Source organism: Homo sapiens, chromosome 6 (assembly GCF_000001405.40).
Source record: "Homo sapiens chromosome 6, GRCh38.p14 Primary Assembly".
NCBI classification, from domain to species: Eukaryota; Metazoa; Chordata; class Mammalia; order Primates; family Hominidae; genus Homo; species Homo sapiens.
In genome coordinates this window covers 158,012,677-158,038,831 of record NC_000006.12, presented here as the reverse complement: position 1 = coordinate 158,038,831, position 26,155 = coordinate 158,012,677, and the positions used below count along the sequence as shown (strand labels likewise).

General features: G+C 50.7%; 1 protein-coding gene across 9 annotated transcripts in view, besides 5 other annotated features; it reads right to left on the bottom strand.

Moving 5' to 3' along the window:
* SYNJ2 (synaptojanin 2) overlaps positions 1-26,155 on the bottom strand; it is a 117,881-nt gene that overhangs the window by 60,345 nt on the left and 31,381 nt on the right. For 7 of the 9 annotated variants that reach the window (XM_047419472.1, NM_001410947.1, NM_003898.4 and 4 more), the window contains exons 2-4: positions 21,542-21,628; positions 9,806-10,076; positions 5,152-5,377 (exon numbers count right to left, since the gene is read on the bottom strand). Coding sequence is in view for 7 of the 9 variants with exons in the window: in NM_001410947.1 (NP_001397876.1) it covers positions 5,152-5,377; positions 9,806-10,076; positions 21,542-21,628 (584 nt within the window). In the remaining 2 variants the exon portion in view is untranslated. Of the gene's footprint in view, positions 1-5,151; positions 5,378-9,805; positions 10,077-11,666; positions 11,861-21,541; positions 21,740-26,155 lie in introns of those variants that run through there. The other 2 variants (XM_047419470.1, NM_001178088.2) reach the window with 2 other exon arrangements.
* Positions 584-1,278: an enhancer, noted in NCBI's record as "H3K27ac-H3K4me1 hESC enhancer chr6:158458586-158459280 (GRCh37/hg19 assembly coordinates)". NCBI's record gives its function as "activates a minimal SCP1, AML or CMV promoter by ChIP-STARR-seq in naive H9 embryonic stem cells {active_cell/tissue: H9 hESC(naive)}" and the evidence as "EXISTENCE:reporter gene assay evidence [ECO:0000049][PMID:30033119]".
* Positions 7,141-7,435: an enhancer, noted in NCBI's record as "tiled region #12557; K562 Activating DNase matched - State 5:Enh". NCBI's record gives its function as "activates a minimal TATA promoter and a strong SV40 promoter by Sharpr-MPRA in K562 cells {active_cell/tissue: K562}" and the evidence as "EXISTENCE:reporter gene assay evidence [ECO:0000049][PMID:27701403]".
* Positions 11,388-12,075: an enhancer, noted in NCBI's record as "H3K4me1 hESC enhancer chr6:158447789-158448476 (GRCh37/hg19 assembly coordinates)". NCBI's record gives its function as "activates a minimal SCP1, AML or CMV promoter by ChIP-STARR-seq in naive H9 embryonic stem cells {active_cell/tissue: H9 hESC(naive)}" and the evidence as "EXISTENCE:reporter gene assay evidence [ECO:0000049][PMID:30033119]".
* Positions 11,801-11,870: an enhancer, noted in NCBI's record as "active region_25346". NCBI's record gives its function as "activates an Ori minimal core promoter by ATAC-STARR-seq in GM12878 lymphoblastoid cells {active_cell/tissue: GM12878}" and the evidence as "EXISTENCE:reporter gene assay evidence [ECO:0000049][PMID:35858748]".
* Positions 12,076-12,763: an enhancer, noted in NCBI's record as "H3K4me1 hESC enhancer chr6:158447101-158447788 (GRCh37/hg19 assembly coordinates)". NCBI's record gives its function as "activates a minimal SCP1, AML or CMV promoter by ChIP-STARR-seq in naive H9 embryonic stem cells {active_cell/tissue: H9 hESC(naive)}" and the evidence as "EXISTENCE:reporter gene assay evidence [ECO:0000049][PMID:30033119]".

The window sequence follows — 26,155 nt, the reverse complement described above, 5'->3', positions numbered from 1 at the left end:
CTCGACCTCCAGGCAGGGGTCACCAGCCGAACACCACCTATCGGAAGTACCACCTGGAAGGGCGGCAGCACCTGGCAGGACCAGCTTCACCTGCCCCACTCCTGCTGCGCCCCCATCACACCACCACTGCCCCCCATGCCCACCCACCTGGGAGCAGAGCCTGGGACCTGGCAGGCTCAGTCAGGCTTTGCTGAAGGCCCACGTGGACAGCCCTGGACTCAGCGCTGGGAAGTGACAGCTCCCCTTCCTGGGTAGCCAGGCTGTCCGGGGTCTCCGATGGATGGGCCAGCCCAGGCACCTCCAGGCTCATCAGCACAGCCTGAAACATAGGCACCCAACCAAGAGCTACCGTGGGTGTAGGGCCACCTTCCTGGGGCCCCGCTACGCATCTCTTGTTAACGAAGTCACCATGGGTTAAGTTATGCTCTCTAGGTGGGGCGGGGGCAGCATCCGCAGCGGCTGCATCTGTGGGTGAGCGGCAGGTGGTGGTGCCCAGCTGTCTGTCAATCACTGCTGCTCCTGGGAGTAAGGTTGGGTGGGGACTTCATGGAGAGCAGCCCTGTCTAGCCCAGAGCCCAGAGGACGAAAAAGGACAAAACACACACACTAGGAAGCCCACAAAGGCTTATGGGAGCCAAGAAATCCCTCCCCAGCCCAGACAAGGAAGGGAGGTGGAGGCAATGTCAACAGCATCGGGCTGTACCCCAGGAGCTGGAAGGGCAGGCTGTTCATATCTCTATGGCCTTGCCAGGCTGCCCGAGGTGGGAGATTCAGGAGATGTGGGGGCAAGGTCCCTGCCTCTGAGCTCTAACAAGCAGGCTGGCAACACAGGAGACAAGCGCCAGTCAGCAGGCACGCGACACGAAGTGGCCAGAGCCAAGGCCCAGCCTGGTCTGTGGTAGGGCTTGTTGGTCTGTAAAAGTGAGAAAGCAAAGATTGCAGCGAGAGTTCTCACAGGGCCACAGGCGCTGCCTGTAAAGCACAGTCCTCTAACAGGAGCCAGCATCCGCGGCCCAGGGTGAGCTGTGTCCCTTCCAAAAACCATATGGTGAAGTACCAACTCCCAGTACTTTAGAACTTGTTTGGAAATAGGGTCTTTGCAGAAGTAATGGGTTAAGATGAGGACAACTGGGCCGGGCTCAGTGGCTCACACCTGTAATCTCAGCACTTTGGGAGGCCGAGGCGGGCAGATCACGAGGTCAGGAGATCGAGACCATCCTGGCTAACACGGTGAAACCCTGTCTCTACTAAAAATACAAAAAATTAGCCGGGCGTGGTGGCGGGCGCCTGTAGTCCCAGCTACTCAGGAGGCTGAGGCAGGAGAATGGTGTGAACCCGGGAGGCAGAGCTTGCAGTGAGCCGAGATTGTGCCACTGAACTCCAGCCTGGGTGACAGAGCGAGACTCCGTCTCCAAAAAAAAAAAAAAAAAAAAAAAGATGAGGACAACTGGAGTAGGGTGGGTCCCTGATCCAGTACGACTGGAGTCCTGGAGAGACACAGGCAGAGAAGGCCACACGAAAACGGAGGCAGAGATGATGGAGAGATGCTTGCCAGAGGCCACCAAGAGCCGGGGCGGTCAGGTGGGCTCAGAAGGGTTCTCCCCAGGGGGACTTCGAAGAGACAGCAGTCCTGCCGACACCTGGATTGCAGACTTCCAGTCTCCAGAACTGGGAGAGAATAAGTGTGTTGTTTTCGGCCACCCAGTTTGGGGTACTTTATTATGGGCAGTCCTAGGAAATGCATGCGGTTTGCTTTCATTTTCCGTGTTAGAATGTCCGGTGTTTTAGGAAGGACAGTGCCGCTAAAGGACAGTGGTTCCCAGGGACTTACTCGATGAGATGCAATAGATGAGACCCCAAGTCTTAAAATTCTGGTTGAAATCCAAAACCAGTATTTTAAATAAAAGTTCAAAATAAAAGGCAAGTGGTAATGAAGTGGGGCAGGGAAGGGACTCTCCCCATGCAGACATCAGCCAGAAAAGAGAAAACCACCCAGCTGGGGCCACAGCTTCTCTCTCTGTCCCCTTTTTAAAATTTTTCAAAATTTAACTTTTATTTTAAGTTCAGGGGTACTTGTGCAGGTTTGTTACATAGGTAAACGCATGTTATGTGGGTTTGTTGTACAGGTTATTTTGTCACCCAGTATTAAGCCTAGCAGCACCCACTAGTTATTTTTCCTGATCCTCTCCCTCCTCCTACCCTCCATCCTCCACCCTCTGATAGGCCCCAGTGTGTGTTGTTCCCCTCTTTGTATCCATGTGTTCTCATCATTTAGCTCCCACTTGTAAGTAAGAACATGCAGTGTTTGGTTTTCTGCTCCTGCCTTAGTCTGCTTAGGGTAATGGCCTCCAGCTGCATCCGTGTTGCTGGAAAGGACACGATCTCATTCCTTTTCATGACTGCATACTATTCCATGCTGTATACAAACCACATTTTCTTTATCCAGTCTACCACTGATGGACATTCAGGTTGATTCCATGTCTTTGCTATTGTGAGTAGGTCTCTGAGGAATCACCACATTGTTCTCCACAATGGTGGAACTAATTTACACTCCCACCAACAGCGTATGAGCGTTCCTTTTTCTCTGCAATCTTGCCAGCATCTGTTATTTTTCGACTTTTTAACAATAGCCATTATTGTGTGAGGAGGTATCTCATTTCACACAAGTCAAATAATATTCACGCAAGTCAAATAATAGCCATTTGACTTGTGTGAGGGGGTAGCTCATTGTGGCTTTGATTCTCATTTCTCTAATGATCAGTGATGTTAAGCTTTTTTCCATGATTGCTGGCCGCATGTATGCCTTCTTTTGAAAAGTGTCTGTTTATGTCCTTTGCCCAGTTTTTAATGTTTTTTTTTTTTTTCTTGGAAATTTGTTTAAGTTCCTTATAGATGCTGGGTGTTAGACCTTTGTCAGATGCATAGTTTGCAAAAATTTTCTCCCATTCTGTAGGTTGTCTGTTCACTCTGTTGATAGTTTCTTCAGCTGTGCAGAAGCTCTTTAGTTTGGTTAGATCCACAATCCTCAAACTAATAAGAGCCATTTATGACAAACCCACAGCCAACACCATACTGAATGGGCAAAAGCTGAAAACCAGCACAGGACAAGGATGCCCTCTCTCATCACTCCTATTTAACATATTAATAGTATTAGAAGTTTTGACCAGGGCAATCAGGCAAGAGAAAGAAATAAAGGGCATCCCAATAGGAAGAGAGGAATCAAACTATCCCTGTTTGCAATCAACATGATTCTATATCTAGAAAACACCACAGTCTCAGCCCAAAATCTCCTTAACCTGATAAACAGCTTCGGCAAAGTCTCAGAATACAAAATCAATACACCAACAACAGTCAAGCAGAGAGCCAAATCAGGAACACAATCCCATTCACAACTGCTGTGAGAAGAATAAAATACCTAGCAATACAGTTTATGAGGGAGGTGAAAGATCTCTACAATGAGAATTACAAAACACTGCTCAAAGAAATTGGAGATGACACAAATGGAAAAACATTCCATCCTCATGGATAAGAAGAATCAATATCATTAAAATGGACATAATGCCCAAAGCAATTTATGGATTCAAAGCTATTCCTATTAAACTACCATTGACATTCTTCATAGAACTAGAAAAAACTATTTTAAAATTCATATGGAACCAAAAAAGAGCCCGAATAGCCAAGGCAATCCTAAGCAAAAAGAACAAAGCTGGAGGCATCACACTACCTGAATTCAAACTATACTACAGGGCTATAGTAACCAAAGCAGCATGGCACTGGTACAAAAACAGATACGTAGACCAATGAAACAGAATAGACAACCCAGAAATAAGGCCGTACACCTACAACCATGTGATCTTTGACCAACCTGACAAAAACAAGCAATGGGAAAAGGATTCTCTATTCAATAAACGGTGCTGGGATAACTGGCTAGCCATATGCAGAAGACTGAAACTGGACCCCTTCCTTACACCATATACAAAAATCAACTCAAGATGGGTTAAAGACTTGAATGTAAAACGCAAAACTATAAAAACCCTGGAAGACAACCTAGGCAATACCATTCTAGACATAGGAACAGTCAAAGACTTCATGACGAAGATGCCAAAAGCAATCTCATTTTTAACCAGATATTTACATAATAGCCTCGTTGATATCCACAGTGCAGACATTCTGAGCAGAATTACAGGCAAGTAATTGCAGCTGTTGCCCATCTTAGGGCCCCCTGCTCTGATGTTCCTCTGAGTGGGGACTCTGAGAGCAGCCTCCTCATCTCTGTATCTACCCTCTGAACACTGGAGCAGGCAGAAAGTCCCACACAGTAAAGGTAGGTGCTCAAACCTCTGCTGGATTAAAGTGGCCAAAGTCCGCATAAGGCATTCCTCTCCCAGCAGCGGCAGCGAGGGGGGACGCACAGCCACGCCTTCACTCAGTAAACACAGGGCACCCAGCTTGCCCTGGCAGGAGTACCATACATGTGCCTTCCGGGGTTTTCCTTTCTTATGGCTTACACCACTGTATTCCACATGGTGGCCTTATCTTACAGATTGCAAGTTAGAGCAAAAATTTAAAAGTTGTAAGACAGCATCTCTGGAAATGAGAACAGAATTTAGAAAAAACTCCAGGAGAAATTAAGCAGATGGCTATATTCTAGGGGAACGGATGGGAGCGGCTGCTTAACACGCAGATTTCACAACTCTAGGGTGCTAATACTGGCTTCCAGGAGAAGCTTCAGTTGATTTAGAATAAAAAATAATGGTTTCTTCTTTCATCCCCCCATTGTATTGATCTACTTATTTTTGTCCTAAAAGGATTTTCAAACCCTATTTGTTCATCTGTCAGCTGCCCTTGGAATACTGCCCACCTTTCACGACCAAGGCAAAAATTCCTGATTCCGTTTAGTTAAAAATACCTCGGCTAAGCAGCATTTTCCCTGCATGAGATGTGAATCAGAAAGGATACACCATGCAAACCAGAGGTCACATTTTCATGTGGAGCCCAATTACACGTGCTGTTCTCCACTTATAGGAGGAAGCCTGATCAGAGACCACCACAAATATGCCAGGGCCTCTTCTGCCCCAAGTGGAAAGCGCGTGTGCAAGAGCTGCAGCCACTCGGAACCATTTGGTGCCACAGATGGGCCTGGGCACTCACCTGCTCTGTCTCCACGAAGTTGGACACATGGCCGTCGTCGTTCACGCCACGGGTGTGGAAGCGAGTGCCTGTGCGCTCACAGCTAACGCGAGAGACGAGGCAGGCCTTGGCCTGCTTGTGGGAGGCATACACGGTGCGGATGGTGACCACCCCGCAGATGATCTTCAGCAGCCAGTCACAGCAGCTCACCTGGTGCTGCCTCAAGGGCACGTGCAACAGCTGGTTCCTGCAAAACACAGTCCCACACCAATTCCAGTCACTTGACATCCTCCAATACATGCTGCCTGGACAGCGAGTGTGGCTGAGGAACTGGGGGGCGCACGGTGCAGCATTTCGGGTCAGCGAATGCATGCTGCTCCCCAGTGGACTCTGCACTTGGGCTGTACAGATCTGGGAAGTTCATGTGCTTCAAAGAGATCCCAAATAGCAGGACCACTGTGTCACGTAGAGGAGGATGGCCAGGGAGTCCTTTCCCAAAGCCACTACCAGGTCGTCACTGTCGCTAAATGGAAGCAAAGCTGGAGAGTGAGCCAGCGTGCACTTTTCGGGGAATCGCAAAGGGGCCTCTGGTTAGCCCTGTGGGCCCCACAGTTTTCATCGCAGGCCCCATTGGTAAAAAATTAATCATCTTTTATTATTAAACAATCATGATCAATAAGTGATTAAAAATCATATTAAATATGGGAACAGTTATTTAAATTATCCACATATACACACACATGCACCATGAGATGATTATGACGAGAGCGCTACAAAGCAATCCAAAATAAATTTTAAAAAGATCCGAGGAAAATAAAATGTAATGAAAGTTCAAGTATTCCCTCTCCATGCCTAGTGGATTGCTGTAGGCTCTAGAGTCCATGATGATAACGACAGGGTGACAGCCAACATTTATCCTGTGCACTAAGCCCCATTCTAAGTACTTTGGGGTGGATTAACTCATTTCACCCTTGAAGTGACCCTATGTGAAAGGTATCATCAGTGACCCCCTTTCACAGATAAAGCAGCTGAGGCACAGAGAAGTGAAGTGCTTGTCTAATGCCACAGAGCCAGCCAGTGGCGTCATGGAGCTTGGAGCCCGCGCTCTTCACGCCGAGCCTTTCTTCATGAGGCCCTACGTTTCCATGTGCACCTGCGAACGACCACGTAGTTCTCTCATCCCTGAGCTGGCCTGGCCCCCTTGCTTTAGCACCCAGGGGACCTGAGTGGTACCATCCTGAGGGCCCATACTCACTCTCAGGGAGGAGGACCCATCATCAGGAGATGCCCTCTTACAGGGCACTGAGTGAATCTAGATCACAGTGCCCTACTTGTTTAAAAAAGGCAACACAATTCCTGCCCTTGAGCCTTCCTCAAAGACAGCAGCAGCATTTTCTCATTGCTGGAAATCTGTGCTGTGAGCTCTGATGGGTCCCAGGGGGCTTCTCCAAGCTTCCTGCTCTCAGGCCAGCCTCCCCGACTGTGACCAAAGCCACATGCACCCCCACAGGGAGCACAGCCCGCGTCTGACCCCGTCTGAGGTCGCACAGTCACATGCACCCCCACAGGGAGCACAGCCCGCGTCTGACCCCATCTGAGGTCGCACAGCCACAGCGCTCCTCTGCTTGAAAAATGCTGCTGAAGCATTGCTGTACAAAAACACATGTCCCTCTTCCAAATCACTCTCTCAAATTCAGATGATAAGCCAGCTTCCGAAACACATATATGAAATCTGCATGTGGCATCAAGGCAAAGCCTCCAGAATATTTCAGAGTCTGCCAGCTACACAGCTATGGCCACTATCACCAGGGCTCAGGAGAAGAAACCTTTTGCCAAGTGGACAACCCTTAAATCAGCCCTGTTTCTAGTGACACTGCCTGGCCCTCTGGCAGGAGGATGACTCATATCCAGGACCCCCAAAGAGTTTCCTCCCAGGACCTGATTGTACTGGGAGGCAATTGTCAGTGTGATCAATTACCAGCCCAGAAAGATGACTTCACCCTGCTGCTCACTCTGCCTTATGTGCCAGCCACGCTGAGCGTTGACCCCATCTGACTCCTGCTGTGGGTCTCCAGACCTCACGCTGCGCCACAACAGTGGGGGTTCAGGCGATCAAGCCCAGAACCACACTGCCCGTGGTGACTCAGTTGTGGTCAGTTCTGGGGGCTCCACCCTGAGCCTAAACACCACGCCCTGGCGTGTTACAGCTGAGGAGCCTGGCGACCTCCAGAGTTACTTCCTCCTCTCCCTTCAGAAAGGGACACCATGGGGCTCCTCCTTCCAAAGCTCCTCTCAGCCTCCACCTCGTGAATCCCCTTTGCCTCGCTTTGTTAGTGCCCCTCACACCTCCAGCCACAGAGCTGGCATAGGGAAGAGAACTTGCAAAGGTGCTGGTGCAATTCAGATACCCCAAGGATCCCCTAGGGGTTCCAAGGACCCTCACTGCCGCTGAGAGCTCTCACCTCTGCTCCCCTGACAGTTCTGGTTTAAAATAGTTTCACGGACTCCACACAAAGATACCTCATAATACACAGCCCCTCTGTGCTTAAGCTTGGCTGCCTTTAGGGGAACATGTAACAGCTCGCGGGGCACATGCTGGGCCCTGCAAAATGTAACCAGCGATTCACAGAAATGCCATCCCCAGAGGCTGCTACTCAACCTGCCGTCTGCAGACAAGCAGCACTGGCAGCTTATTAGAAATGCAGAATCCTGGGCCCAGCCCAGACCTGCCATCCCAGAATCTGCATTTTTAATGAGATCAGCATGAGATTCACGATTTTATTTATTTTATTTTATTTATTTATTTTGAGACAGAGTCTCACCCTGTAGCCCAGGCTGGAGTGCAATGGTGCGATCTCGGCTCACTGCAATCTCAGCCTCCTGGGTTCAAACGATTCTTCTGCCTCAGCCTCCCATGTAGCTGGGATTACAGGTGTGCGCCACCACACCTGGCTAATTTTCTTTGTATCTTTAGTAGAGACAGGGTTTCACCATGTTGGCCAGGCTGGTCTCAAACTGCTGACCTCAGGTGATCCGCCTGCCTTGGCCTCCCAAAGTGCTGGGATTGCAGGCGTGAGCTACCATGCCCAGCCTTGATTCACGTGCATTTTGAAGTCTGGGCACATTACTGCCCCCAAATATCCACAATACCAGAGAACCAAAGAGGATGTGGGGGTGGGGAGCGTTGGGATGGACACAGGGATGTGGGGAGGGTCCCCTTCTTCCGGCAGAAATCAGGAATTCACTTCTGGGGAATCCAAAGCACCAAGGCCAGATGAAAACCTGTGGCTGCCTCTGGCAAAGGGAGAGAGGCACAAACAGGTCAGAAATAAACCTCACGAGTCCCGTCTCAGAGCTGGGAAAACTGATATAGCTTCAAAAGGCAGACACTGGATTCTAAAACATTACATTAGATGAGGTTCATTGGAACGACTCCCATGGCAGGACTTTCCTCACTTTTGCTTCTACCTGGCATCTCTAGGCATCAGTGCGAATCTGACAGAAACAGCATTATGTCCAGAAAGGGCAATAGATAATTTATGTATTTACAGGGTTGTCCACTCTTGTCTCTGTCCTGCTGTGGAGTGAAAAAGCACCAGGAGATCTTAAACATACAGAAATCCAGCCGCCTCTGCCTGGGCTCCGGGACTAGTCTTAGTGCATTGCTACAAGTCCCTTTGGGCAGGGTGACTCAGCTTCCCCATTGATGGGACTGGTTTAGCACTGTGATTACCAGCTTGGGACCTGGACCCAGAAAGCCTGGGTTCAAATCCTGGCTCTGCCACTTAGTAAGTGTGTGGAGTTTGGCAAAATTCCCTCGACTATTCGTGCCTCAGTCTCTCTACCTGTAAAATGGGGTAACAGAGCCTCCGCATAATTATTATAAAGGTTTTTATAATAATGATGAGTTATTACCAGCAGAGAGATCTTAGCACGGTGACCCGAACACAGTGCTTTATAAACATCAGCGGTAAACGGCTGCACACTGGAGGTAACCATGATTGAGAAGACTGAAAGAGTGAATCCAGGCAGAAGCACTGAGCTCGGCACCCGGGACTGAGGAAGCACTCAGCAGACGTCGGCTCTTATGTTTTTTACTTATGGAACAGGGTTTCTTTTCTTTCTTTCTTTTTCTTTGAGACAGAGTCTTGCTCTGTCACCCAGGGTGGAGTGTAGTAGCACCATCTTGGCTCACAGCAACCTCCGTTTCCTGGGTTTAAGCGATTCTCCTGCCTCAGCCTCCCGAGTAGCTGGGATTACAGGCACCTGCCACCACGCCCAGCTAATTTTTTTTTTTTTTTTTTTTTGTATTTTTAGTAGAGATGGGCTTTCACCATGTTGGCCAGGCTTGTCTCAAACTCCTTAACTCAAGTGATCCACCTGCCTCAGCCTCCCAAAGTGCTGGGATTACAGGCATGAGGCACCATGCCTGGCGCAGGTTTCTTTTCCAAATCTACACTGAACACATTCCAGGGGCCAGGGGTGGGGGGTGGCAGGGAGTTCAGGGTTAGTTTTCCTCTCATTGTGCTGAGAGCAGGCCTGGGTCCTAACTCTCCAGAGGTGCCCCATAACCCGGGGGTGGTGCAAGTGGAGGTCAAGGCCTCAGATGCCAACCAGGGCCCACCCTCTGCAGGAGACCCAGGGCCCACCCTCTGCAGGGGACCCAGGGCCTCACCAGAAGAAGGAGTTCCCCCATTCAGAGCTGTCATCCCCCTGCTTCTGCGTGCGGACAGTCAGGTCAAAGCGAGACCCATCGTTTGGCCATGAGAAATAGAACACCCCCGAGCTGAGGATTTTCTTCAAAGCTATGAGGCGTTCCTCCTCCTTGGCCTCTTCCTGAAGAGGGTAAAAGTCAGTGGCAGTGATTTTGTAGATTTCAGCATCTGGAATTCTGCCCACAGATGTGCAGCCTGTCACCAACACCAGGAAGCTCAGAGACGTGCCACCTGGAAAGGAAATCAGACAGGAGAGCTCAGGGTCGAAGTCGGCCCGGCCGCCTGGAGCTCCAAGGGGACAAATGGAGCCCAGGTTCAACCGCAGCCAGGAAGGCAACGTCTGTGCACCTGCAACTTCCCATGGCATTGCCCAACTCAATGGCTCAAGAACCTGCCCTGTCCTGTAAGCTTCAGGCGGGGCTTCTCAAAGTGTGGGACCCTGGCCAGCAAGTCAGCATCCCCTGGGAGCCTGTTAGACATGCAGATTCCTGCCGCCCAGCTGCCTGAGGCTGGGGGCAAGCTTTGCTTTAACAAGCCCTCCAGGTGATTCTGATGCCCCCAGGAGTCTGAAAATTCCTGGCCTAGAGCCCTTCCAGACCCCCAGGACCTACCCCCAAAGCCTCTCCAAATCACCTTCCCCAGTGCCTCCTCAGCCACTGCCTTGACTCAGGACCCCTGGCCTGGGGTCTGTCTTCCCCCACTCCATCACAGGAGTGGCCTTCCCAAAGTCATTGGATCACAGCCGCTCCGCCCTTCCTTCTTGCACAGCTCCCACTCCCTGCAGGACTACGACAGAAGCTCCCAAATCCCTCCCCGCTGCAGCCCATCCCTGCCCCACACGTGGGCAGACACCCCAGCCGGCTGCTCTCCTGAGCTGGCTGTCCTCCAGCTGGTCCAATGTGCCATAAGCATGACCTCGCACCCTGGGCTCTTGCCCAAGATGCTCCCCCTGCCTGGGACGTCCCACCGCCATCTGCCCAACAAGACCTCCATGACCCCTTCTCCACGCACCTCCCGCCTGTCTCTACCCTAACAATACTTCAGGCTTCGGGCCCAGCATTCCATCCTCTGGAAGAACACGAGCGTCCCCACATGCTCCGTAGGGACCATCCTGCCTCTGCCCTCCCCACTTCACCAGAAGAACTCCTCCTCATCCTTCTGGGCCAACTTGGCAGCAACTCCTCCGGGAAGCCTTCCTTGCTCTCCCAAGACACGGACAGGCACCCCTCGTACGTGCCAATAGCATTCCCATCAGCAGTTGTCACACACACAAAGCTCATGACCTCCCTCCCCACCTGTGCCCCCAGGGGAGGGGCTTCCTTGGGGGCAGGGCCATTTCGTCGTCATCTCCCAGCACCACACACACTCGGTTTGCTGAATGCTTCCTAAATAAATTCCTGCCAAATGCTACCAAGACGACCTCGGACCCTGCAGCCAGGCGAATGAGGCAGCCCTCTCTGGGGCACCACCTCGCTGTCGCTGACAGCTGGTTTTCTGTTCCCTATCCCCCGCTGCTCACAAGGGCACTTCACAACACGCTGCGTATCGGGGGTGCCTGGTGGCGCCGTGCCTCACTCTCGGGACGGGGCCCAAGAGATCATCGGGTAGAAACCGGCCTTTGGGGTCTGGCAGGGCTCTAGTCCCAAGGACACTCTTCCCACCCCGCTGAGGTCTGAAGGATCCGCCCAGCGAGATCTTCTGTGAATGATCAAGGGCCGCTGTCTACAGCCATGGTCTGGAGATGGTTCTGATCTCTCCACACTCCAGGAAGAGACCCCCAAAACAACCAGTTCCACCACCCTCTCACCCCAATTTCCTCACCACACTTCATAGGGAGAAGAGCGCTGCTTGTGGCAGGGTGGCGTGTGGCTGTCATTAAAGTGCGTTCCTTTAATGAGCGCTCAGGGCTCCCAGGGGCCTGCTGCTATGCCATGGGGTGGGGCTGCCAGCAGGGCAGGGGGTTGATCCCATCACATCTCCCCAGACACATCCTCAGGAAACCACCTCAAAACCACCTAAGAACAAAGGAAGTTATCACACTGGGGACAGGGACAGGGGTCAGAGTTCAGCTTCTCAAGTAGGATAGGTGGGGTTCCGGGGTTGGCAGCTTGTGATCAGAGCCTTGGCCACAGAGCGCTCCCGGCACCCACCTGCCTCTTCTGACACAGTGCAGGGAAAAGCACAGTTCAGCAGAAGTGCCCTCGGAGAGGCAGGAGGATGGCCCCTGTGGCTGCCAGAGCTATGGAAAATTTTGCATGACATCACTCCGTGAGAGTCATGAGCTGATTTCTAGCACCACTTCCTCAACAGCCTCCGTGTGGGGGGCCTGAGTGCCTGGCAACAGTCCCAGGTGCATTTCCTGGGCAGGACCACGGCCTGGGGGAGGCTGGGGAGAGGAGCACTGTAGCAGCCAGGAGAGGCTCTTAACATTGCCACAGAGCACTGGGGCTCCTGGGTCCAGGGAGGAGGGGGTCGGGAGTGGTACAGGGGAGTGAGGAGAGCCGGTATCTGGTGAGCGCAGTGGAGGCAGGGGAGCTGTACAGGCGCGGACTCCATCCTCCCGCCCACCGCAAGGGGCGCCCTTACCAGCCCCATCTCACAGGGAGGGAAACAGACGCACAGAGAGGTTAAGCAGCCTGCCCAAGGTGACAGAGCGGGGAGCTGGGATCCAAATCCACTTTCTAGCTACAGTGCCTGGGCAAGTTTCTCAAGCCAAGTCTGGCCCCAGAGCTGGTGCTCCTAATTACACCTCCTTGCAGATGACGTCGCCAGCCTGCTTACCCATGCTGCTGTCTCAGGGCTACCACTGCCATTTCACACACGCATGACTGTCCCCCAGGGAAGCTGAATCACCCGCCCAAGCACACAGCTAGTCTGTGTTGGAGCCAAAATGTAGGTTTCACTTTAAGCCCATGCTCCATCTAGCCCCAAAGTCCGGCAGTTTCCAATCGGATTAGTTTGCTGTACCCTGTATGTATGTATGTATGTACGTATGTATGTATGTATGCATGTATTATTTATTTATTTATTTTTTGAGACAGAGTTTTACTCTTGTTGCCCAAGCTGGAGTGCAATGGTGTGATCTCGGCTCACCGCAACCTCTGCCTCCCAGGTTCTAGTGATTCTCCTGCCTCACCCTCTGGAGTAACTGAGATTACAAGCATGCGTCACCACGCCCAGCTAATTTTATATTTTTAGTAGAGATGGGATTTCTCCATGTAGGTCAGGCTGGTCTCAAACTCCCGACCTCAGGTGATCTGCCTGCTTCGGCCTCCCAAAGTGCTGGGATTACAGGCGTGAGCCACCACGCCCGGCTATTTTTTTTTGAGATGGAGTTTCACTCTTGTTGCCCAGGCTGGAGTGGAGTGGTGCAATCTCAGCTCACTGCTACCTCCGCCTCCTGGGTTCAAGTAATTCTCTTGCCTCAGCCTCCCGAGTTGCTGGGATTATACCGGCTAATTTTTTGTATTTTTGGTAGAGATGGGGTGTTACCATGTTGGCCAGGCTGGTCTCGAACTCCTGACCTCAGGTGATTCACCTGCCTCAGCCTCCCAAAGTGCTGGGATTACAGGTGTGAACCACTGCACCTGGCCTGCTGTACCCTTTAAAAGAGTGTGGTCAACCAGTGTACCTGCTATTGACTGAATGTGTGCACCCCCAAGTTAATATGCTGAAGTACGAACACCCAAGGTGATGGTTTGAGGTGGTGGGGGTATTTGGGAGGTGACTGGGTTATGGCAGTGGAGCCCTCATGAATGGGGTTTGTGCCCAGAGATCTCCTGCACCTCTCCCACCATGTCAGATGCAGAGAAAAGGCAGCATCTATGGAGCAAGAAGCAGGTCCTCACAGCCGGCCAATCTGCGGGCCGCTGGTCTCGGACTTCCAGCCTCCAGAACTGCGCGAAATAAATGTCTGTTGCTGATAAGCCACCCCGTCTACTACGGAACTTTGTCACAGCAACACACTGGACTCAGACAGCGTTCCCTGCCCATTTTAAAACTGCCATTGAAGGTTTTCATCGGTAGTTGAAATGCCTGTAAATAATATATTGTGCAGTGTATTCTAAATATTGACACGTAAAACTAAAACTCTGGGAGCCTCTTGTCAGTATCCCATGGAATCTACACAGTAACGTGATACTCATTGCCATCTATTATTTACAGGATTGCAGGAGCATGCTCTTTCTTACCACATGGAACTTTCACTCATATTTCCAGTCCCCCCTCTTCAGAATTCCATCCTAATGTAGCATATCTGGTGCTTCTACGTCCTGTTCTGATCACCCCATCAGCCCCTGCAGCCGTGTGTTCCTCAACTCCAAGTGTTTAAAAAGAGAGCGTTCTGGTTTATCGTTCCAGTGATACCTAACTGGTCAAACAATGTAAACAATACAATGTAAATAAAACACTGCCAAATAATTTTTTTTGGCTGTCCTCTTTAAGAGTGTGGTCAACCAGTGTACCTGCTATTGGCTGAATGTGTGCACCCCCAAATTAATATGCTGAAGTATGAACACCCAAGGCGATGGTTTTAGGAGGTGGGGTCTCTGGGAGGTGACAGTCTTGCTCTGTCGCCCAGGCTAGAGTGCAGTGGCGCAATCTGGGCTCACTGCAACCTCTGTCTCCCGGGTTCAACTTTCGCCTTTCAGGTTTACTGCCTCAGCCTCTTGAGTAGCCGGGATTACAGGCATGAGCCCCCATGCCCAGCTAATTTTTGTATTTTTAGTAGAGATGGGGTTTCACCATGTTGACTGGGCTGGTCTAGAACTCCTGACCTCTAGTGGTCCGCCCACCTTGGCCTCCCAAAGTGCTGGGATTACAGGCATGAGCCACCGTGCCTGGCCGACAAATAATCATTTGATACAAAAAGTCATAATGTGTTGGAAAGGCATCTCTTAATGAGATGAATAAATATTTATTGAAGGAATGAAAGTAGGTTCTGCACCAATTCTAATTCTAGTTTTCATTTTTGTAGACGCAAACACTAAAAGATCCTGTTCACATTAATAAATAGATGGGAATGGAAAGGGCTTCATTGTAGAAATGTCACTCGATTCTTCAAAGTCCTTCTGAGTTAGCGCTAAGAAATGACAATAACCTGCTGATAAAATGGTTACTAATGTGTCAGCTGATACCCCAATTAAATTCTCCTTCCGTTATGGGGGAAGCAAACAATTGGACATCACCTGACTTGCAAACAGATTGCTACCTAGTCCTGACCTTATTGCAATGCTGTTGACAAGCTTTTGAACTGTCCCTTTGTCTGGAATCCTAGGGGGAGTTACTTCCTGGAGCACGGCACACGGTGAGCTTCCAGAAGAGAGAAGGGCCTACCCTCTACCCTAACATGGAAGCAGGGAGACCTCAGAGGGGAATAAGAACCCTGTCCTCCATCACAGGTGCTCCATGATAGAAAAAAGCCAAGGACCTGGACACTTTTCCTTAGAACTGCCCCTGCCTGTGTGTCCCAGACAGTTGGTGGGACGGGTGTAACCACAGAGGCCTCTGTGGAAGAGCCTTACCCAAACCTCAGGACCGCTGTGTGGAGCGCTGCCTCTCCGGGAAGGCCCCGCCCTGCCTACCTGACCCAGCACTGATGGCTTCCTCCTCCTTCAATCCCAGCCTCACTGTGTCCTGCCTAATCTCATTGACAGCCTGACTGCCTGACTGTGTTCTCTGTATACCATGGGTTTTTTGTTTGTTTGCTTTTTTTTTTTTTTTTAAATTTAGAGACAGGTTCTTGCACTGTCACCCAGGCTGGAGTGCAGTGACTTGATCTCAGTACACTGCAACTTCCCCTTTCTGGGTTCCAGCGATCCTCCCATGTCAGCCTCCCAAGTAGCTGGGACTACAGGCGTGCACCACCGCTCCTGGCATGGTGCTGTAGATACCATCACTATGTAGAGACATAGTCTTGCTACATAGCCCAGGCTGGTCTTGAACTTCTAGGCTCAAGTGATCCTCCTGCCTCGGCCCCCTGAGGTGCTAGGATTACAGGTATGAGCCACCATGCCTGGCCTGTACTATGGGTTTTAAGGAAAGTGTCCTGGCTTGAGCCTAGCACCAGGCTGTGGGGGGTCGCTGACTCCCGGGCCACCGTCAGTGTGGTACAAGCCACTGGTCCCCACCTGCCCCAGGTGTGTGAGGCCCCTCCCGATGCTCACCTAGAGCACAGGATTTGCTTTTGTGAGGCAGGATCAATTCTCTGACAGCCAAGAAGCTAACTAGGCTTGCGGGGTTCTTGGCAGTCCTCAGCTGAGGGAGAGACCAGGGCCCTGAAACCATCAAGGATCTCATAGCAAGTGGAAAAACAAAACTCAGAAGAGTGGGGCTCCAGGCTCTGCACACCTCCAGTGGCCTGTGTGGCCTCAGGCAAGGCTCTTACCCTCTCTGGGCCTCCCAGGAGGATGCGCCAATAGTCTCAATGTCCCCTCCAGGTAAAGGGCTTTGGTTCCAGGGCTCTGGCCAAAGCAAAGCCATGCATGGGTCAGAGGGAGCTGCCAGAGTGAGGTGGAGGGAGGCAAGAGCCAGTGGCAGGTCCTAGGCAATTTGTTATCAGGCCAGGAAAGCTGGCTGTTGGAGTCATGATACGTGGCTTGCAGACCCAAGGCCCCGTTTACCGGGACCACCCCAGGCCTCCCACAAGGCTCTGGGCTGGCATTTCCTTGTGTTGTCTCAGCTCTGAGTTCACCTTCCCAGCCTGGTCTGTGCCAATCCCAACCCTGGGGTCCCTCCAGCCATCCTATCTGTCCCTCTGCTCACACAGACACCCTCAGACTTAAAGCTCCAAACAAAGGACTAAAGATGTCTAGGCTTTCCCACCTGTGAAGGGGGAAGCTTCGGCCAGATGACCCTTGAGCCTCCCCCGCCACCCGCAGGTTCAGAACCCTAAGCACTGTGTGCCCATGCGGCATGGTCTCAGGGCCTTCTCCCGCCTCCCTTCTGCAGAACATGAGGGAGGTGTAGGCAGCGGCGGCCACAGCAGTGAACACCCGCAGTGAGCACCCCTGGTGCAGATCCTTCCTCAGCTCCACGCTGGGAACCTGAAATCAGCCCTGGCCCGTGAATTTACACCTTGGAAACTGGCAAATGCTGCATCATCTCAGAGCTTCCCCCTCAGGGAGCTGGGTGTCAACTCTCTTGGTAATATCCCACCACTGGGCACAGGAATTAAATTAATCTAAGACCGACAAAGGCCAGTTCGCTTCAAGACTTGCTAGAGAACACTGCATCCCAAAAGACTAAGGGTTCAAACTCCCCTCCAGGGAATCCTCCTTCTGAAGTGACTGCCCATGAAACCAGCCCTCTGCTAGCCTGTGCAGAGGAGCCCCCCACCAGGAGTCCACACCCCGAGGCCACACAGCCTGGCCTTCCAGCTCACACCTCGTCCTCAGCCCTCTGCAGGCCAGGTCCCTCTCACTCAGCACCCTCCTCCCTCCAGCCCTCCCAGGGACAGAGGAGAGACAGCAGAGCTTCTCAGTGGTGGCAGCGTCCCCAGGCCACACTCTAAGAAACTGCCTGTGGCCAGCCCGCCTGGTGTTGGAGGAGCACTCCACACTCTTCATGGCTACCATGTGCATGGCCCATGTGGACCTCCTGAGAACTAGGCAACATAGAGATGAGGCAGTTTTCCCAGGTTTACAGACAGGAAAACAGTCCTACAGAGATTAAATGCAGTTCAGCTGTGAAGTGGGAACTAGAATCTAGGAGGGCTGTCTGCTAGAGAATTTATAGGGCTGTCGTGTACAGCTTCACAGGTTGCGTACTGCACAACTCCAGGAGACACAATTCATTATAGTCTGGGATAGGAGTAGAGTCCCTTGAGGCTATAAAACAGGTAGGCCTTGAGAGCTTGGGTTCAAGAGAATTTAAATTGCTATAATCATTGGGATAAGTTCTTTTTTCTGCTACATTCTCACTTAATATGCTTTGTATTGTGTAAACTTCAGGAAGCCTGACTCCCTGGCTAATCACGGGAGCTCCAACCCCTTCCTGCTGGCATTTCAGGAAGGAAAGGGGAACTTTGGGCTTTCTACAAAAACCTTGGAACCTGGAAAAAGGCTTTTATGAATTTTTGTGCATATTTCTCGATTTCTAATGTAAAAGGCTAATTTAGGTAGATTGAAATTTTTCCCAAACTAAGGGAAAACTTGTCCCAAATTAAGAGCCTGTGGGGAAGCCTCTTTCTTTGCGCAGAGATGCTTAGCTAAAAACATTGAAAGGGAGGCCCACTCCTGACTCAGCTGGTTGTCTTCGTGGCAACTGAAAGTTGGAGTCACACAGCTAGGGTCACATACATGGAGTCACACAGCTGAAGTCACGCAGCTGGAGTCAGGCAACAGTGGAGTTAGCCACGCAGTGAAATCAGTCACACAACTGGAGTCACACAGGTGGGGTCACACGGTTGAAGTCAGTCATATAGTTGGAGTCATACAGGTGGAGTCAGTCACACAGAGTCAGTACACAGTTGGAGTCACACAGGTGGGGTCACACAGTTGAGGTCAGTCATACAGATGGAGTCACAGTTGGAGTCACACAGTTAGAGTCAGTCATACAATTGGAGTCACACAGGTGGGGTCACACGGTTGAAGTCAATCATATAGTTGGAGTCATACAGGTGGAGTTAGTCACACAGTTGGAGTCAGTCACATAGTTAGAGTCAGTCCACAGTTGGAGTCACACAGGTGGGGGTCACACAGTCGGAGTCACGCAGGTGGGGGTCACACAGTCAGAGTCACGCAGGTGGGGGTCACACAGTCAGAGTCACGCAGGTGGGGGTCACACAGTCAGAGTCACACAGGTGGGGGTCACACAATTGGAGTCATACAGATGGAGTCACAGTTGGAGTCACGCAGAGTCACACAGGTGGAGTTAGTCACACAATTGGAGTCAGTTACACAGTTGTAGTTGGTCACACGACTGGAGTCACACAGGTGGAGTCAGTCACACAGGTGGGGTCACACAGTTGTAGCTACACTCCGTGCTGCCCAACATGCTCAACAGCTGAAAACACAAAAGAAAATAGATCACAGTTCTGGGTCAGGGACTTACAGGGGAAAAAGAAAATCAAGTTAAAGTCAAACGCCCCTTAAGATAACCAATGGGGACTGAAAAAACTTGATTTAAAGCCCAATCCTTCCATCCTTCAGATGCTCAGGGTGCTTTCCAGAATGTGTTGAAAACAGACCAAATTATCCTGACATCGCCAAAGTCAAACTCATACACACCACACTCAGAGAAACTCCAACCCACTCCGGGGGGTGACTCTCACAGGTGGGCAGGGGTTGGGGGCACCCAAAGCCTCGGAGCAGGGCTGGTCTCGCATGGTCCACAAGAAGCCTCATTCCCTTCTGTGGGGTGTGGGGTGGCGGGGACTGGCTGAAGGCAGGGAGGAGGCCTCGCCTAGGGCAGCCCTGGGAGGTGGTCTCCTCTCTGAGCACTCCCTGCCCCATTAGACCCTGCTGACCCCCGCAGACACCCTGGCTCGCTCTAATAAGACATCTTTGGGGCTGCCACCCTTCCTGGTTAGGACCAATTTCCCACAGCTGATCTTAGATCACAGCCCTGGGAAAAAACACTTTTCCCCTGGGATGGGGGAAGGTACTGCACTTCCTGTCCCCCTTGTGAGCCCAGCCACCTGTCCCTTTCAGAAAGGAGAACAGCCTGGTGGTTGAAGGCAGTCCCTGGTGCCGCAAGGCATGAGTTTAAAACCCAGGGCACCACTTGAGAATGGCGTGACCTTGAGCCGGTTACTGTAATTCGTCGAATCCCAGTCCCTGTCGGATGCAAAATGAGTCATTCATGTAAGGACCAAAAGCAGCTGCCAACTATAACTGAAGGAAGCCAAGACTGTGAGGCATCCTGGGGGCCCAGATACTACCATGTGGAAAAAAGGGCATCAGCATGGATGGAACGCGGCATCCCTGCCACACCTGCAAGGCAGGGTGACAACAGCACAGGTGGCCTCGGGAGCCGTGTTAACAAGTTCCTAAGTGAGTCCCATGCAGGTGCAGGCCACCATCCTCACGGTCATCACCATGGAAGGCAAGGGCCACAGGGATTTCCTGCAACTTCAGGAAGATCGCTGCAGAGCGGAAAGTCCTGCAGAAAACCCTCGGCAGCCCGCACATTTCCACAGAAAAAGCAAGCGTTTGGAGGCGCTTCAAACCCCAACTAAGTTTCTGACCTAAGGCAAGTTACTTGAAGCTTCTGAGCCTGTTCCCGTTACTGTAAACGGGGACAAAGATGCATTATCACGGTAGCCTATTTTTAGGATTAAATAAGTGAATGTACGGCTAGCTCTTGGCACGAAACAGACATTTCATAAATGCACTTTGTCATGTGGGTACTGTGTATTTTTCCTAAATGCTATTTGGAAATGATCACTGTAATCGTCACAGTTCAGGGAAAAACATTCCATGACAGAAAACACCCAGAAAAGGAATGGCCAACGTAACCGTGCTTTTCTGGCAGCTTTAAACATCCTCAGTCTCTGAAAACAGCTGCTGTGAGCAGGGAAGGGAGGTGTGCGCTTGGCTCAGGGAAAGCCCGAATTCAGACAACCCATACAGCCATTCCCATCTCAGCCAGGTGGGACTGAGAATCAGGAATGCGACTGGGCTCTTGTCTCGGCCCCAGAAGTCACAAGAGATGTCCACAGCCAGGTCACAGATGGCAAGGGGGCCCCTGAGAGAGAAGGAAGGAAACAGGTGGTAGAACCTAAAGCCCCAGGGCTCCTGAGCTCCAGGAACAGCTGAGTTTGGCTGTGACCACCCACGACAGCCGGCCACCACCGGCTCACCCCCGAGTCTCTCAGAGTGAGCAGAGATGCCCACGTCTTCCTGGAAGTTCTCTCCCTTCGCAAGTCAGATCACACTGTCCCTTCCTCTCCCTCCCACCCCACACTGACTGACAGTCACACATCGGTGGCTTTTTTCTCCTGCTGACAACTCCCAGCCCACCCCTGTGCCCCCGGGCATCTGCCCTGGTCCCTGTCTTCACCCACCCGCCTTGGCACATCTTCTAGAGTACTGCGGACAATGCCCTGGGCAGAAGCCCCAGACCAGACTTTCGAAACACTTAGGCCCTCGCCGGCAAGCAATGAAGACGAGCTTCTCTGGCACAGGGTGGGGGTGCCGGGAACCCCACCCTGCTCCCCAGCACAGGCAGGTGACAACCAGGCAACACTCACCTTGACCTCCCCACCTGCAGGTTCCTGCAGGAGGAGCAGGTCCCGAGGCATAAAGAAACATCTTAAAAGAGAAGAGAGGTCGGCCAGGCACGGCGGCTCATGGCTGTAATCCCAGCACTTTGGGAGGCTGAGGCAGGTGGACCACCTGAGGTCGGAGTTTCAGACCAGCCTGACCAACATGGAAAAACCCCGTCTCTACTAAAAATACAAAAAATTAGTTGGGCATGGTGGCGCATGCCTGTAGTCCCAGCTATTCAGGAGGCTGAGGCAGGAGAATTGCTTGAACCCAGGAGGCAGAGGTTGTGGTGAGCCGAGATCGCGCCATTGCACTGCAGCCTGGGCAACAAGAGCAAAACTCTATCTCGGAGAAAAAAAAAAAAAAAAAAAAAAGAAGAGAGAGAGAAGAGCGGTCAAACAGAATGCCTGCACTGAGGCCCCTTCCGACACAGAGGCTCCTGCCCACCGGGGAGCCTGGCGCCTGCTCCTCCAGCGAGCGGCTACTCACCAGATTTCAGCCTCAGCTCCCCCAGGCAGCCGTACGCGTCCGTGAGCTTGCCATACTGTCCTTTAATGACTTCCTTTTCTTCTGGAGCTGGGGAAGAAACACATCACAGAAGGCATCAGCGAGCGTCTCCTGCTCATTCCTGTTCATTCACACCCGGCTTGCCAAGCTGGCTTCCCACCCACTCCAAAAAGAAAACACAAAGACAATAGCTCGGCCCACAAACACCAAGTGTGGAGGTTTTATGATTCGCGAATCACAGAGCTGCAAGGATTCAGACCTTCCCACCAACAGCTTGCTCTCTGGAAGTGCTGACAGCTTCCTGGGGGCTGGAGGAGCTGGGGTCCTGGGGTTCTGGCGTCCAGCTGGGGGCAGGCACCTGGGGCCTGGCCCTATTACTCTACCTTGCTGTCCCTGTCCACGGGTATCATCCACTAGAGGCTACATCCTGGAGATGCCCACTCACTCCAAGGCACCTGTGGAGGTGGTAACTTGGGGAGACTGGGCAGAGGTGCCTGAGTACCTCTGAGTGCCCAGGGCCTGGGTCCAACCCATCCCAAGGAAAGCTGCGTGCCTTGCCTGCCGGGTCTTTGGCAGTGATTGTCCATGCTCAAGCCAAGGCATGTACTAGTTTTAATGCAAAACTGACAGAGGGAAGAACCATTAGGCGCAGGGAGCCCTAATGGTTAGGGAGAGCCCTAACCTCTCCAATGATGCCACAGGCCCTTCTGGTGACGACGGGGCAGGCCTTTAGACCCCTTCTCAGAATAATGTTTTAAGTGCACAGAACAAAATACAAAGATAGATGAACCTTGAAAACATTATGCTACATGAAAAAAGCCAGTCACAAAAGACCTCAGAAAGATTCCATTTTGGCCGGGCACAGTGGCTTACTTTGTAACCTGTAACCCCAGCACTTTGGGAGGCGAAGGCAGGCGGATCACCTGAGGTCAGAAGTTCGAGACCAGCCTGGGCAACGTGGCGGAACCCTATCTCTACTAAAAATACAAAAATTAGCTGGGCGTGGTGGCACACGCCTGTAATCCCAGCTACTCGGGAGGCTGAGGCAGGGGGATGGCTTGAACCCAGGAGGTGGAGGTTGCAGTGAGCCGAAATTACGCCACTGCACTCCAGCCTGGGTGACAGAGTGAGACTCTGTCTCAAAAACAAGATTCCATTTCTATGAAACGTCCAGAACAGGCACATTTCTAGAGACAGAAAGTAGATGTTGTGGTTGCCAGGGGCTGAGAGTGGGGAAAGGGGGAATGTAGATAATTGCTAATGAGTACGAAGCTTCTTTTAAGGGGGACAAAAATATTCTAAAATTAGATTATGGTGATGGTGGTGGTGATGGTTGTACAATCCTGAAAATATATTTTAGAAACATGGAGTTGTACACTTTAATGAGTTGTATGGTACAGAAATTATATCTCAATAAAGCTGTTATAAAAATCAAGAAAATAAATATGATCACAAATACCAATCTTATTGAAATCTAGTTATCAAAATTTTTAAAAAATGTTATAGTATAGCAATATATGTGCCTTATCAGCATATTAAATCGCAAAATCCAGTGGGGTCTATTAACCACCTTAATTTAAAACTAGTAATGGGAACAAATGCTACTTCAAGATATCTGAAACAACACTAATGTGATGTGGAGACATCTGTAATTGCAATTGGTGACAGGGTCAGAGATACGGCTAACCCACATTGGTGACAGAGTCACAGACATAGCTAACATACTGGTTTTGTTGCCTGCCTTCCTAATTAGAGGAAATGCTGCATTTCAGGTAGGATTTATACAAATAAAGATGGACTTTTCTCCCCACCCAAGAAAACTAATCCTCAAATCCTATGCACAGAGCCCTTAAGGAGCTTTGGGCCCCAGAAGAACCCTTGGGCTGGATGGAACCATTTCTACATCATCATGGAGGTAAGAAAAGGGGCAGCTGGTTCCCTCTCTACCTCATTGTCTTAAGCAGCCGAAAAGGATTCTTAGGCTGCCTCGACTCCCACAGTTAAGGAATTTCAACCAGGAACTAAGATCCCAAAGTGAAATGTTAGAAAGGAGAAAATGACAGAAAACATCAGCCCCTCATACCAAGCCCTCAGAGCAGATGGACTGTGAACTGACTTTCATCACTTCCTGCTGTCTCTAAAGATGTTGACTCAGAGAGGCAAGTGTAGAAAGCTTGGATGAACATTTGAAGCAGGTGAACCTTGTTTTAGCTGACACACATCCCAACACCCCAACTCAAAAGATCCACCATGCCATGTTTTCCAGGACACATTTGATTTCCTGGTTCCTCTCAACCATCCCCATCCCCCTCAAAGGCACTTGTCCTCATCAGACCACAAGTCCCAACTGGGATTGGAAATATAGTCAGACAGTCCCATCCTCCCCTCTGAAGCTCTTCCTACCCTCAGCCCCCCAGGAGTGGGTGCTGGCAGCCCTAGAGCTGCCTCGCTCAGGAACCAGCATGGACTGGCTGCTCCTGCCTCATGCTCCTCTAGCGAGCACAGGAGGACAGAAGGCAGGCACCAGGGCCTCACAACATGACCTGCTACCACCCACCAATCAGATGGCTCTGTCCAGGCTGGTTCTCGGGACATAGCTGGTGGGGCAGAGAGTCGGGACAGACCGTAAGACCAGAGACCTCCCTTCCTCCATTTCTCTAGGCAGGACTGATGGTAAGATGTGATTTAAAGAGCAGGACTGATTACCAGCGTAGCTGGAGAGGCCAACAACTTGAAAATACACCCAATTCCCATTATTCACAGTAGCTATGTTCCATAGAGTTACCAGCAGATACTGAAGCAAGCAGCACTCCTAAAGGAAATGCAGAGTTAGGTTCCTGAAAGCCTCAGGTTGCAACATTTTTGTCAATCAATCAATACTAACCTTGTTTTATGTGTTTTTCTATTTAAAAGACACCTTACTGAATAAACAGATGGTCCTCAACTTACAATGGGGTCATGTCCTGATAAACCCAGGATAGGTTGAAAATATCCTAAGTTGACAATGCATTCAATACACCTAACCTACCAAACACCATAGAGGTATGTCTCAGCTTGCCTTCCACCTATCCAGAACACATGTTAGCCTACAGCTGGGCGAAATCATGAAATACAAAGCCTACTTTCTGAAAGAGTGTTGAATATCTTATGAAATGTATAGACTATTGAACAGAAAGTGAAAAACAGAATGGTCCCATGGGTATTTGAAAGATGGTTTCTACTGAATGCATATCACTTTCACACCGTTGTTAAGTTGAAAAATCATACTGGAAGGAACCATCGTAAGTCAGGAATCATCTGTACAGTGTTGATTCGTTAACACTCAACCAGTGGCACTAGAACACAAACCTGAATACAGTTTATCAAACACACATATTTTCCCCATAAGGCACATCACTGCCTTCTTGCACTTGGAAACACTAGACAGCACTTTCAAACAGTGAAACCACGAAGAAAAAGCACAAAACATGGAAAACATGGCACTAAACAAATCATGAAAACCACACTCGTTTACACCAAGAGGCTGAAACAAGATGGCAGAGCATCCTTTTCAGCTGGGAAAAGGCTCATCGGGTAACACATTTTTGCCACTCTGCTGGTGTCTATGAGTTCTGATCTTGGGGTGACAAACAAATTTTAGAGAGCAGATGAATTTACAAATATGGAATCCACAAATAATGAGGATCCACTGAACATGGTTTAAGGACCTGGCAAACAGCGAGGAGACTTACTAGGAAAACAGCCATTCATCAGCCTTAATGTGAATTAATCTGTACAAGGGCTCTTCACCTGGGGTGACAGAGGAAGCCCCTGGCAGCCATTGGAGCTTCAAGGGGTAGCTCCTGGGGGAATCTGTATACAAAATTGTTCTCAAAATTGTATGCAATTTTTTTTTTGACAGTCTCGCTGTGTTGCCCAGGCTGGAGTACAATGGTGCAATCTCAGCTCACTGTAACCTCCACCTCCTGGGTTCAAGCTATTCTTCCACCTCAGCCACTCAAGCAGCTGGGATTACAGGCATGCGCCACCATACCCAGCTATTTTTTGTAGTTTTAGTAGGGACGGCATTTCGCCATGTTGCCAGGCTGGTCTTGAACTCCCGACCTCAAGTGATCTGCCCGTCTCGGCCTTCCAAAGTGCTGAGATTACAGGCATGAGCCACTGTGCCTGGCCAAAATTTATGCAAATTTTTGATATGTATTTTTATGGGGGCTAAAATCCCATTTTCAACAGAATCTCAAGAGGTCGGTGCCCCCAAAAAGGTTAAGAACCAGTTTAATGAATGAATATTTTCCCCAATGCTCACTTGAATTTGACTGGGTTTTCTCTGGGGAAGGGAGAGTGCAGAGTAACTTAAAGATAATCAATGAAATCATCAACCTCTGAGAGCAGCAGAAGCCCCTCGTCTTGAGGACTAAGCAGACTCTGCTGGCAGCAGGGTGGAGAGTTACAGAATATGAAGTGCCTGGGATATTAGGTTCTCAGGATCACTTAGAAAAGTACTGGGAAGCCACTGTCCCACCTTTTCCATCAGCCTGCCTCAAAAGCTCAGAATGGTGGCAAAATAGCATATTAGTCTCCTTTACTACCGCAACA